This window comes from Homo sapiens, chromosome 7 (genome assembly GCF_000001405.40).
Source record: "Homo sapiens chromosome 7, GRCh38.p14 Primary Assembly".
Lineage (NCBI taxonomy): Eukaryota > Metazoa > Chordata > Mammalia > Primates > Hominidae > Homo > Homo sapiens.
The window spans coordinates 43,358,315-43,371,777 of record NC_000007.14 but is presented as its reverse complement, the minus strand read 5'-3'; the positions used below and the strand labels follow the sequence as shown (position 1 = coordinate 43,371,777).

Below are 13,463 nucleotides of genomic sequence, written 5' to 3'. Positions count from 1 at the left end.
CAATCTGCTCCCCTGCTGCTTTTGCCGTTAGAGTGTATCATCCAGTCTCCCTAACGGAGACACTGGCTTTCCTGTTGTTGCTGTTCCCACAATGCAGCAATGAATAATTTTGTCTATATATCCCAAATAGCTTTTGCAAATATGCCCAAGATAAATTTTGATAAATTTGATAAATTTTGCTAAACTGCCTTGAAAAAAATGGGCCCAATAGTGTACACATGCTTCTTTCACTCTCTTATCATCCCTGGGTACCATAAAACTTTTGAATTTTTGCTTTCTGATTGGAGCATTTAAAAAAATAGCCTTTCATTTATTTTACAGCAGGTTTAGGTCCACAGCAAAACTGAGCAGAAAGCACAGCATTCCCATATATCCCCTGTCCCCACACACGCACAGCCTCCCCAACTACCAACGTTCCACATAAGAGTGGCATATTTGTCACACTTGATGAGCCTACCCTGGCACATCATTATTACCCAAAGTGCATACTTCCCATCAGTGGTTACTGTTAGTGTTGTATATTCTGTGGGTTTTGACAAATGTATAATAACATGTAGCCACCATCATAGTATCATATTAAAGAATTTCATTGGCCAGGCGTGGTGGCTCACGCCTGTAATCCCAGCACTTTGGGAGGCCGAGGCGGGTGGATCACAAGGTCAGGAGATCGAGACCATCCTGGCTAACATGGTGAAACCCTGTCTCTACTAAAAATACAAAAAATTAGCCAGACGTGGTGGCGGGCACCTGTAGTCCCAGCTACTCGGGAGGCTGAGGCAGTAGAATCGCGAGAACCCAGGAAGTGGAGCTTGCAGTGGGCCGAGATTGCGCCACTGCACTCCAGCCTGGGTGACAGAGCAAGACTCCATTTCAAAAAAAAAAAAAAAAAGAATATCATTGCCCTAAAAATCCTCTGTGATCCTCCTATTCATCCTTCCCCGCTAAATCTTCACAACCACTGATCTTTTTTACTGTCTCCATATGTTTGGAAGGTCATATAGATGAATTGTGAAATTATGTAGGCTTTCAGATTGGCTTCTTTCACTTAGTAGTATGCATCTAAGATTTCCTCATGTCTTTTTATAGCTTGGCAGCTCATTTTTTTTTAGTACTGAATAATATTCCATTGTTTGGATGTAGCACAATTTATCTGCTTGCCTGCTAAAGGACATCTTGCATCCAAGATGCCTCCAAGTTTTGACAATTATGGATAGAGCTGCTGTAAACATGTGAAGATGTTTGTATGGACATAAGTTTTCAACTCCGTTGGGTGAATACCAAGGAGTGAGATTGCTGAATCATATGGTAAGGGTATGTTTAGTTTTGTAAGTAACAACCAAATTGTCTTCCAAAGTAGCTGTACCATTTTGCATTTCCACCAGCAATGAATGAGAGTTCCTGTTGCTCCATATCCTTGACAGAATTTTTTGTTGTTAGTGTTTGGATTTTGGCTATTTTAATAGGTATCTTTGGTACCTCATTGTTTTAATTTGCAGTTCTCTAATGACATATATTGTTGGGCATCTTTTCATATGCTAATTTTCCATTTGTGTATTTTTGGTGAGATATCTATCCAGGTGTTTTGCCCATTTTTAAAAGTTGGCTTGATTGCTTTCTCATTGTTGACTTTCGTGAGTTCTTGGTACATTGTGAATACTAGCCCTTGATCAAATATGTATTTTGCAGATATATTCTTCCAGTCTGTAATTTGTCTTCTCATTCTCTTGATGGAACATCTTTTGTGTGTTTATTGGCCGTTGCATTTTTCCCCCCTAAAAACTGACTTTAGGTTCTGGCCCATTTGTCAGATGGTTTGTCTTTTCTTTAATGATGTAAATTAGTTGATTTTGCTCTTAAAAGCTTAAGCTGTATCAGATTTATCTATCCCTCCATCATTTGAAAGACTTCACCTGTGAACTCATCCATTTCGTTTTGTTTTAGGGAAAGTGAACATTTCGTTTTGTCTATTCTGTGCTAAGCTCCTTGCCTCTAATCCCTGAGAAGTCAACATTTGGACCCTGCTGCAGAGAAAGAAGAGAAAAGCCTTTGTTTAAGAAGTCCTCATTTAATTTTCACGTCCTCTTTTTTCTAGGTCACTGGATATATTCATGTCAAGATTCATCATATGAATATATTTATCTTGATGTGTTCATTCACAATTTCTAGGTCAGGTAGTAAATGCCTAGGTAGTAAATAAATAATTCCAGCTTTCATAGTGCTGCCAAAGATTAAGGTGTTCTCTCCCAAAAAGGCAAAGGTAGACTTTTAACAGTACCAAGACTGTCAAATTGTCTCTTTATTTTTTTATTTTTTTTGAGACGGAGTTTCGCTCACTCTTGTAGCCCAGGCTGGAGTGCAATGGCGTGATCTTGGCTCACCGTAACCTCCGCCTCCCGAGTTCAAGCGATTCTCTTGCCTCAGCCTCCCGAGTAGCTGGGATTACAGGCATGTGCCACCACACCCGGCAAATTTTGTATTTTTAGTAGAGATGGAGTTTCTCCTTGTTGGTCAGGCTGGTCTCGAACTCTTGACCTCAGGTGATCTGCCTGCCTCGGCCTCCCAAAGTGCTAGGATTACAAGCATGAGCCACTGCGCCCGGCCCTAAATTGTCTCTTTATGTCAGCAAAGAGTGACATTTATATTTCCTGTGACAGAAGTCCATTATCTTTCTGGAGCCATGAACCCTGTTTATCTGATGAGTGCCTTGGATCCATTCCTAGCAACATGTGCAAATGTGCCCATGAAACACCAGGGCTTCATAGATGTCCTGACCCCAATTTCAGAATGTGGCTCTTACAAACATAGAAAGGATTTCCACTTTCCATTAGGATTTCCATTTCCACTTTCCATAAATTTTTTCTAATGTCATTTCTACAGAAAATGCAACTTGAAGAGAAGGTTTAGAACCAACTATTGGGGATCACAGAATGCTATTTGGCGTTTTGCTTCTTAGAGTCCAGACAGGAAGGATGTAAACCACCCACCCCTACACTATGGCAGCTGAACCATAGCTGGTGGGAAAGGTGTTTCAGAAAACAGCATCTCCAGACTTGAGACCCCAGAATGCCTCGTTAGTGTGAGCTCTGGACCTCTTCCCCTCAAACTGAACAGATTCCTTAATGTTGGGCTAGGATAGAATCTAAACTTCCAAAATGCCTCTTTGAGAGGTTAGAGATTGTGAGTAGGGCCTGGGTAAATTATCTAGAGAGAGGATGCCGAATCCCTTCCCTTTCTTTCTGTTCTAGAAGGGCAAGTCCACCTGATGCCTTGCCCAAAAAGCAAATGTACAAATGTCCCCACTGCTGATCAAACCTGAAATTAGTCTGATCAAAACCTGAAGGGACTTTTGCAGGAGACACATTTATGAATAAGCTGCCACTATATTCTGGGTTAAATTTGCTTACAAGAAATAAAAGGCTTGATCAGAAATCATGGCTGTGGTGTGTGCACATTTCAGCTTACTCCTTCTGGAAAACCCTGCATCATGTTCTGGGCCTGCCCATAATTGGTCCTTACAAAGTACCCTATATTGTCCACCTCCAGAGGCATGGAATAGTGCTCTGTCATTGCCTGTTTTCTTGTCTGTCTCCCCGCTACACACTTGCCCGTATCTTAGGCAGGTGGCTTGATGAGCATGGGGATTTGTCTTGTTTGGTTTTACATGCCTAATGGTTAGCCCCAAGGAGCTTACTGACAAATATTTACTGAGTACATAAATGACACTGAAGGCACAGACTACATAAAGATGCCCAGAATAACTGTTCTGAGCAGACCTCCATGGTTGAGGGGCAGAGTGTTGCATGGACTGGAGAGGTGGAAGCAGAAGGGCTGAGGAAGTGGAAGCAGGTTCTGGGAAAAGAAGATTAGAGGCAAGAGGCTTTGAGCATCAGAAAACAATTTGCCAGATTAGCAGCGAGAAAAAATGTGATGTGGATTCTCAGCTAGAATAAATTATACATTATGTTGATATCTAACCATCAACTTATATCACCCTTGGAAACTCCTTTTCTATTCCACCCTTGACTTTTGAGAATGGAGACAAAGTTTAAAAGTTAACAATAGTCAGAAGATCTTGTAAAATAACCCCTTAAAAAGGTCATTCTAAAACTCTCTAGTAAATGTCTGGGCAGCATTGATCCTTTGCATGTAAATAAATCATGTATGTAATTCTAGCTCAAGCACTCAAGATTACTTTTATTGTGTTTTATCTGTATCATTTAATCTATAGCTCCTACAAATCAAAATGCTTTCTTAAATTCTCCTCTAAGAAAAGGCTAGCAGACATTTATGAAGGGAATAAATAAAAATAGAATATTGTACTGTATAACTTCTTCAGACGTCTTGCTTCCCTAGCATAACTAGAATTACTTCAGTTAAAAACAGATTTTCAGAATATTAGGGACTAAGTCTCAAAATTTTGTCTCATCATAGTATTGTTAATGAGGTTTCCTTTTAGTGCTGGTTAGCTAAGTATTGGTGATATGCTGCAAAAATAAATTCTGGATGTAATAGTAAGGCAACAGGAAAACAATTCACAAAGGCTATTATAAAATCCAAGTCAAAAAATAAATGCCATGTCACTTTCCCAAAATACAATGGGGCCAAGTTTCCAAAATCAGAACTGGAAATGAGGCAAGTTTAAGAACATGGCTATAGTGCCATGAACCTGGTGATATCATGAAAGCCAGAATTCCAACTAAATCCTTAGAAAGCCCCATTTTCTTACGAGTTGAGGAAAATGACTCTGAAATTTCCCCAAGTCCCTCTTTGTGCAGAGACAGTTCTTTACATAACATAATGAATAGAAAACTACAATTAAGAGAAAATAGCATCTTGGGCAGTCCTGTGGTTCTGAGGTCTGTGTAAGGCTGCCTGCTCTCCCGGGATCTCAGGGGGTGGGTCCATCTCACTGGGGCAATGCAGTCCATCCCAATTAAACAGAGAACAAACTCTCCTTCTCCATTAGTTTTTGGATACTCCTTTTTGACACATTTCAAGGGTAAAATTGAGACTTCATCTGGACACACTGGATGAAGGGGATCCTTTGGCAACTTTGGGGACCTTCACCCCAATATTGAAGATACATGGTGATTGATGTTTATTGGAACCTGGTCTTGCCATTTAATCTCTGCCAAGCACAAGGGCTCAAGACCATTTATTATAAAGTTGAGGTGTCTTCCAAATTAATTGGCTTATGTCTAACAATTCTAGGTAGCTGGTCCCATCAGTCGGCAACCTGTGGATTCCTTTTGCTACTAATGCTACTAACTTGGTTGAAGTATTTTCCAGGACATTTTATAACCTATAGCAGCTGGTCCATAGTTGCTTTATTATGACTTGAAATTTTTTTTGAAATATCTACTTTTAAAATCCCCAAGAAAAATGCTACTATAGCCAAAGGTAATGACCTAGAATTTGGGGAAGGGAGGGTATTTATCAATTATTTGTCCACTGCAGGAGACTCAGACTGATGTGGAGGAGGAAAATCTTGGCCCTATTTTAGAGTGCTAATTTAGCCTATATTGGTGTGGAAATGTCCTATTGAGTTGCCTTTTTTTTTAAGAGAATAGTGTCAACTCTTACCTCTGCTCAGGGGGTCTGACAAGTATATGAATCTGTAAACATGAACTAGTGAAAAGATAGTTTAAATTTGTTCTTTGTTCTTTTTTTTTTTTGTGAGACAGTCTTGCTCTGTCGACCAGGCTGGAGTGCAGTGGTGTGATCTCGGCTCACTGCAACCTCTACCTCCCAGGTTCAAGTGATTCTTGTGCCTCAGCCTCCCAAGTAGCTAGGATTGCAGACATGCACCACCATGCTGGCTAATATTATTTTATTTTTTATTTTTTTATAGAGATGGGGTTTTGCCATGTTGGCCAGACTTGTCTTGAACTCCTGGCCACATGTGATACACTCACCTTGGCCTCCCAAAGTGCTAGGATTACAGGCGTGAGCCACTGCACCCAGCCGTTCTTTGTTCTTTGGCAAATAACTTTACTTTGAATGTTATGCTGTTCAGTTATTATCAAAAGCTTGGTTGCAGAGGCACTAGATTAACATGAAGGAAGAAGAAGAGGACCTTCCTATGTTTACTTCCAACTTCTCATTGAAAGAGCCAGAAGATACAGAATATGAAGTAAATAAATAAACAATAGCAATCTGAGGTAAGAATAAGAATAATCCAGTGTAACATAATCCTGATGGGTTTTCCACACATTTTAATGCTGATAAAGACAACATAAGAAATACATCTTTGACTACACATGACCCAGCCTCTAAATCTAGAGAAGTCTCTACTCCAGAGTAGATGGCCCCACACGGGTGGGAATGTCATGTCCTCAGCCTGCCCTGCATGCTGGTGGCCTTTCCCGATTGCTTGGACTCTACCAGAGTCATTCCCCAGCTACCTATTTTCTATCTGGAGGCCGCAGTCCCAGGCCTCAGAGTGGGTGGGGAGGAGGCCCACTGCACTGCCAGGTGAACGCTCTGTAGGGAGGGTCTCATAAACCAGGTGTGGGAGCAGTATGCTCGGGACTTGAAAGACTCTCACTTACCTGGCTCACACCAACAGCTTCAGACTGCATCAGAGTCTCCGGCACTGCAGGAGAACCGGCAGGCAAAGGGAGGGCCCCCACTCCCTCCAGCAGCCCCTACAGATGATGCCGGCTGGGTGCCTGAGAGTGGGAAGAGGAGGATGTGAAAACTCACTGTCAGGTCTAGACCCAGCAGGGCAGCCTGGTTATTTTCAGTGGACTGTGTGTTGGGCTAAGGACAGTTTACCCACCCTGTCTTTGGCAAACTGTCGTGATGGGCTGATTTCTGTTTTTTGATGTATAATCAGAGAAAGAAAAATATATCATGGGGCTTATTTAAGAAGACTGTAATGGTAATGCACAAGGGGGAGTTAGCAAGGGCCAGAATATGGAGAGGAAGAGCTTGCTTTGACAGTGATTTTCTACAGAAAATAAAAGAAAGACATAAAACGTGATAGGTGCTACTAATAAGACACAAAAAGTATGAAAAACAGGAAGATATATAGGGACAATAAGTCCTATATTCTTTAAACCTAAGACAACTAGGTCTCCTTCCCTGCCAGGCCTGAGCCATTTCTCACCCCGTGCCTTTGTACAGGCCATCCCTTCTGCTGGCCTTGCCTGTCTGTCTTCAAGGCATGGCCAAGGCCCACTCATGGCGCCTGCCTCAGGCCACGCCCCCTCCTCCGCAGCCAGCACAGCTGCTGCAGGTGCCTGGTCACGGCTTTCTCTATACATCAGCACAGCAGGCTTCACGCTCCAGTACTGGAGACTTTATATAGTATTATAATTTATAATGGAGTAACCGTGAGTTCTCAGTGACAGGGCTTATATTTCATTTATCTCTATAAGCACATCCATCATAGTTTCTGATATACAATAAATGAGAGCCCCAGAAAGACAAGAGTAGAAGACAACCTCTTTTTAAACAAGGACCTCAACAGTTGCCCATGGGACAAAGACAAAGATGAGAGGGAACAAGACAATGAGAAAAAGAATTGATGCATCGTGAGACCATACAATGCTCAGAAAATTAAAGCGCTGATTACACCAAAGGAGCATGTGACAGCTTGTTCCTCCTTTTCAAAGAATGGTAGGTTTAGCGTATTGTCACAGACCAACTCAGTGACTTTGGGGACATGATATAATGGCAATACACAGCAACTCTTCATAAGAGATGAATGCAGCAGCAGCAATCCTCAACCTAGAAGTTGACACTCCAAGTTTATCAACAAATTGATAGAGGGAAACCTCACAGCATTTCCCCTTAGAAACTGTGTGCTCAAGTCCCCAGACGAGACTGCAAAGGCTTATTTAACCCGGAAAGTTGCTAGATTATACCCAAACTGAGCTGGGTTGCAAAAAGTATAAGCGAAATGTGGTTCTGCTCCATCACCATATAGCCAAATGATCACTTAACCAGAAGGGTAGTTCCTGCCTCTCTCCACAGATGTGCTGGGCATCAACTAGAATAATGCGTGATAAACAGCTTTGAAAAGTGTGCCACGCCATCAAACAAAGGGGGCTCCTCCCAGTGGCTCCTATGAAACCTAATTGCCCGTGAAAATACAGTCCTGTGGGATTGTGTGTACTGCCTTCTGCCCTGGGACTCCAGGGACTCATTTTCACCATGACAATAGGAGCCCAGGATTTCTCTCTTTGTCCCTGGTGGCAGAGGGGCTATGCGATCGAGCTCTCACATGCTTGGGGACTAGAAGTTGTCTGCAGGATGTACATTCAAGTGTCAACCCAAGTGTCTACTGATTTGTGTGACAAAATCATTAAGGAGATAAAAATCAGGGTGACAGCAATATGTCAAAATATTTCAAGATGCCAGAGTTTGAAGTATGAGCAGCAGCAGCTCATGTGGAATGACAAAGATGAGGTCAGGGCAGTAGCAATCAGGCACCTGCTGAACCTTATGTCAACAGTGTGATGGAAGCATCTCATTTCCTCTTCTGAGGTACAAGCCTTTGTTTCTGGTGATGGCAGCCCTTGGGGAGCATATGCTTGTTGAAAATTTATCCTGCCCTAAGGGGCTGTACATCATACTTTAGAGGCCATTTTCTGGGCAGTTGGCCTCTTGCTTAATTTTAAGCCTACATTGCACAACACTGTGATGATGTGTCACATTTTGCACTGGTCTGAGCAGCAGGTGAACATCTGGAGTCTCCAGCAGGCTGAGTTCAGAGACGACAAATGCTCTAGGGAGCTTTATTTAAATAAGAAAAAGTGCTTCAGGTAAGAATTTGAATTCCAGGGCTGGCCAACACACCCACAGTATCATTCCAGAGCAGAAGAAGGTGAGGAACTCCTCTCCCCTACGAGCCTTGAGCCAACAGGCCAGTCCCATCAGTGGGCACAGCCCATTCCTGCTAAGGGATCCTTGTGTCTGCCTCATTCAGTGAACTGCTGTGTGTTGGCAAGAGGCCAGGCCTGCAGTGGAAGGGTTTTCCCTAATTGGCTTCACTCCACTTCCTGCCTCCTTCCTTCTCTGCCTGTTGTGTGCTCAGTGCCTTCCTGCTCTGTCTCCCTAGCTTCTGGTTCACTTTTTCTTTTCTGCCTCGATTTAGCTGTCTCTAAGCTACCTTGATTTAGTTGTCACTCCACCCTCAATGATTGGCTAACAGGTGTCAGGACATGTCTGGTTTTAAGGGGTACCCTCTTTTGAGGGATGCCCAAACAAACGGGCCTGGAAGAGAGGTTCTGGCACTCTGAGGACACTTCCCTAGATTCTCACACTTAAATTGCTGTCCGAGTCAGACAGGAATCACGTTCCAATCTGCATGGCCAGTGAGGGAAAAACAGCGAAGCCGTCAAAAGCACATGTGCCTCTCCCTCTCTTCCCACTGCGCTTCCCGCTATGAGTTCCGGGATGGGAAACCCAGTTCAGTGTCCAGTCCTGCCGAGGATGGAGGCAGCCAGGCTTTGGGCCTCGGGCCTGCTTACCTTACTGCTTACTACCAAGGCCTCAATTAGCTCATCTTCAGGATGCTGCAGAACTGATTTGCAAAGCAGCAAAATGGAATATTTTTTGGAGTCAAAGTCCTTTCTGAATCATTCATATTTCATGTCAAATACTTTCTCTCTCTCTCTTTTTTTTTTTTTTTTTTTTTGAGACGGAGTTTCACTCTTGTTGCCCAGGCTGGAGTGCAGTGGTGCGATCTCTGCTCACTGCACCTGGGTTCAAGTGATTCTTCTGCCTTAGCTTCCCAAGTAGCTGGGATTGCAGGCGCTTGCCACCATGCCTGGCTAATTTTGTATTTTTAGTAGAGACAGCGTTTCACCATGTTGGCCAGGCTGGTCTTAAACTCCTGACCTCAAGTGATCCGCCTGCCTGGGGACTCCCAAAGTGTTGGGATTACAGGCGTGAGCCACTGCGCCTGGCCTGTTTTTTTTTTAATGTAAAAAAAAAAAAAAAAAAAAAAAAAAGAGAGAGTCTTTTTTATTTCCACTAGCATGACAAAGTCCTCCACTGGTTTCTGTCCAGCCTCCCCAGTTGGTCATTTAAAATTTATGTGAAAAGGAAAAGGAATGCCATTTCTCAGTGCATTTCAGCCTAATCAGATGCATTAAGAACTAAGTGAGAAGCACTACAAAGATTAAAACTGGATTGTAACTTAGGAAGATGGCATCTATTACCACAGGCCTGAGCAAAGCCACACAGCAGGGAACAAAAGAAGTGACTTAAATCCTGGATCTGCAACGAGTTCTGTGACCTGAGATAGATTATTTAGGCTCCTTGGCCACTGTCCTCATTTATACACAGAGAAGGGTGAGAGATTCTGGTCTTTCCAGGCCTATCATGTTATAATTCTATGACTAAAATCAACCTGAGGCAATAAATCCTACTCCATTAATTTATTTACAAGACTAAAAGAAATAAAAACATAAGAAAATATAAATATTTAAAACCAAACAATTAAAAAATGTGATCCAAAGAAAAGGCTTCTTCACTGTGATTGCACATGTCTCTATTAGAAACATTTGGCCATCTAAGGAAAATAAAGAAGCTTGGCTCCTCCCTAACACACAAGTGTAGCATGAGCTTTAATAAGGTCGACTATGGATCTCATTCCTCTTGACCATTTTGAGGTGTCTTTCCATTTATTCATAATCAATCTATCAGTATATCTCCATATGTGTGTATGTACACGTACACACACACACACACACACACACACACACACGCACGCACAAGAACAAAATAGGAAAGTGAAGAAAGACCAGAGTTAGGTCTAACCAAAGACGGAGAAATGAGACTTACAGGAGCTGCCGAGTTTTTGACCGTGACACTGGGGGTGGTTGCTCGCAGGGCCCCACTCACTCCATGGTAGTATTTGAAGCAGATCTTAGTTTCAGCTGAAAGACAAACAAAAAATGAGACTGAGAAGTAGGGTGTAACCCAGGGAGAGACAGCTATGGCCACAGAGGACATCTCTAAGAACTGCAACATAATTCCCCCACGAGCAAGCCAGGCCACACTCGACAATGATGCTCCTCATGTGGCCTCAAGGACAGGTCTGACTTCTTAAAACTGTGACATGAAAAATTGTTCTGGCCTTAACATTTTTGTATCCAAGTTAAGTCCATTATTTAGACTTCTCAGCATCCATCCTACCCCATTAGAGGTCATTGATTTAAAACACTTAGTTCTAAGATGTGAGGTGGGTGGATGCCTATCACCTGTCTGTTTCTTCTGTAATGTCCTATTATTTAATTCATTGTGATTAATATCTTGGTAATTTGCAGAAAGACTTTGAGAAGTTATTGAAGTACATAGGAGAGAGGCATATTTTCTAAACTCCTGTACCCATCAATGATAACCTCTTTGCATCACAATTTGTTTCCTTCAAAGTTCTATAGATGTAGCTGGCAGTGGTAGCACGCATCTGTAGTTCCCAGCTACTTGGGAGGCTGAGGCAGGAGGATCACTTGAGCTCAGGACTTTAATGCTGCAGAGAGTTATAATCACATCAGTGCACTCCAGCCTGGGTAATAGGGTGAGACTCCATTTAAAAAAAAAAAAAAAGAAAGTTCTATAAATGGTTAAGCAGAATGTAAAGAGTTTAGGGGGATCACACTGGGTTTGAATTTCAGCTCCATTATTTACAATCTGTGAGACAATGAATAAGTCCCTGTACCCCCTGTTAAAATAGGACTTCATAAGACGTTGGTTAAGCAAATAAAAGTGCTTCGATTCAATTAAGTGCTCAGTAAATGTTAGTGATTGTGATGATGTGATGACTAAATGACAACATCAGTCCTTTTCCTTCTGGCATTTAGTTCCCTAGAGGACAAGATCTGTAGCCAACATGAGTTTAGTTCATTTGAAGGTGATTTGCTTTCCCCAATTCACTGTTTATAGGATTTGTTTTCTTAAAATTTAAAAAAATTACCAGGCTATGTCTTGGTCCCTTATATTTTGTTTGAAACAATATGAGAAATCTCCAATTTGAGATATTTTTTCTCAAATATGGAAATTTGCCTTCAATTATCATTTTAAAAATAATGTCTACAATTTTATTAGCATGCATTTGAAATGTGCTCAGAATGGAAAATACGAAAAATGAAGATAAGTATAAATGAAATAACAATCTTCTGAGATTTTTGCATAATTGAGACTATAAACTATAGAATAATACATTTTGCTTTTTTAAAAAATTGACATTATGAAATAAGCATGGCCAACTATCATTTAAAACTCCTCAAACAACATTACTTATTATACAGAACAACTGAATAGATTTACACATTGCAAATATTTCCTATATTTGGAAATTCAGGCTTTTCTCTGAAAATCAATTACTTTTTACAAATTATTTTTTAAGTTCAAATTTTCTCCCTAGGACAATGGAGCAAAAATCGCTAGATACCTACCCGGCATCCATTCTACCTTTCCTCCTTAATAACAGAATCTCAGTTTTATTTTGATTGATAATGTCCAGCTAAAGTACTACATTTTGCAGCCTCCCTGGCAGAATAACACCTATGCAGTTTACCATTGTTATTTTAGGATCTCTGTTATATGTAGCTAAACATAAACCTAACTGATATGTAAAGGTTTCCTCAATGCTGTAGATACGAATATTACAGTAGTCTTCTTTAGGTTAAAAGATATGGGCCGGGCACGGTGGCTCACGCCTGTAATCCCAACACTTTGGGAGGCCGAGGTGGGTGGATCATTTGTGGTCAGGAGTTTGAGATCAGCCTGGCCAACATGGTGAAACCTCATCTCTACTAAAAATACAAAAATTAGCTGGGCGTGGTGGTGCACTCCTGCAATCCCAGCTACTTCGGAAGGCTGAAGCAGGAGAATTGCTGGAACCCGGGAGGTGGAGGTGGCAGTGAGCCAAGATCACGCCATTGCACTCCAGCCTGGGCAACAGAGCAAGACTCAGTCTCAAAAAAAAAAAAAAAAAAAAAAAAGAATATATTTTAAGGATCCTCCCTTCCTGGGGCCAAATTGCTTTCCAAATAACACTTTACACTTCTATCAGGAAATGTGACTCTGACCATCTCATAGAACGCTTGTTAGCACTGAGCATCATCACTTAAAAATAGGCTTAAAATAGAATCCGATTATTATTTTTGTTTCATTTATTTGATTATTAGTAGGGTTAAACTTTTTCATTAAATTTTAATCAGCTATTTAAATTTTTTTGAAGCCATTTAATTGCAGTTGCTCAGGTTTTCCATTACCTGGGTGATGCCTGGATGCTAACCAGTCCCTCTGTTAGTGGATGTGTTCTTACTTCAGATATGCCTGTACTTTGAGTTTCCTTCCTGAGTCACTTTCTCGATAGTTCTTTCACATGTCTGTTGATTGTCTTTTCAAGCTCTTGGTGGACAATCTTATAACCCAGTTCTGTACTTATTCTCCAAGACACCTCAAAGTTGTCCCCATGTTAGGTCTACACACTCAGATCCAAT

The 13,463-nt window shown here is 41.6% G+C and overlaps 1 protein-coding gene across 18 annotated transcripts in view; it reads right to left on the bottom strand.

Annotated features, from left to right (window-relative positions):
• HECW1 (HECT, C2 and WW domain containing E3 ubiquitin protein ligase 1) overlaps nt 1-13,463 on the bottom strand; it is a 453,355-nt gene that overhangs the window by 194,224 nt on the left and 245,668 nt on the right. For 17 of the 18 annotated variants that reach the window (NM_015052.5, XM_017011883.3, NM_001287059.2 and 14 more), the window contains one exon: nt 10,798-10,892. In NM_015052.5, the coding sequence (NP_055867.3) occupies nt 10,798-10,892 (95 nt within the window). Of the gene's footprint in view, nt 1-10,797; nt 10,893-11,343; nt 11,438-13,463 lie in introns of those variants that run through there. The other variant, XM_011515225.2, reaches the window with a different exon arrangement.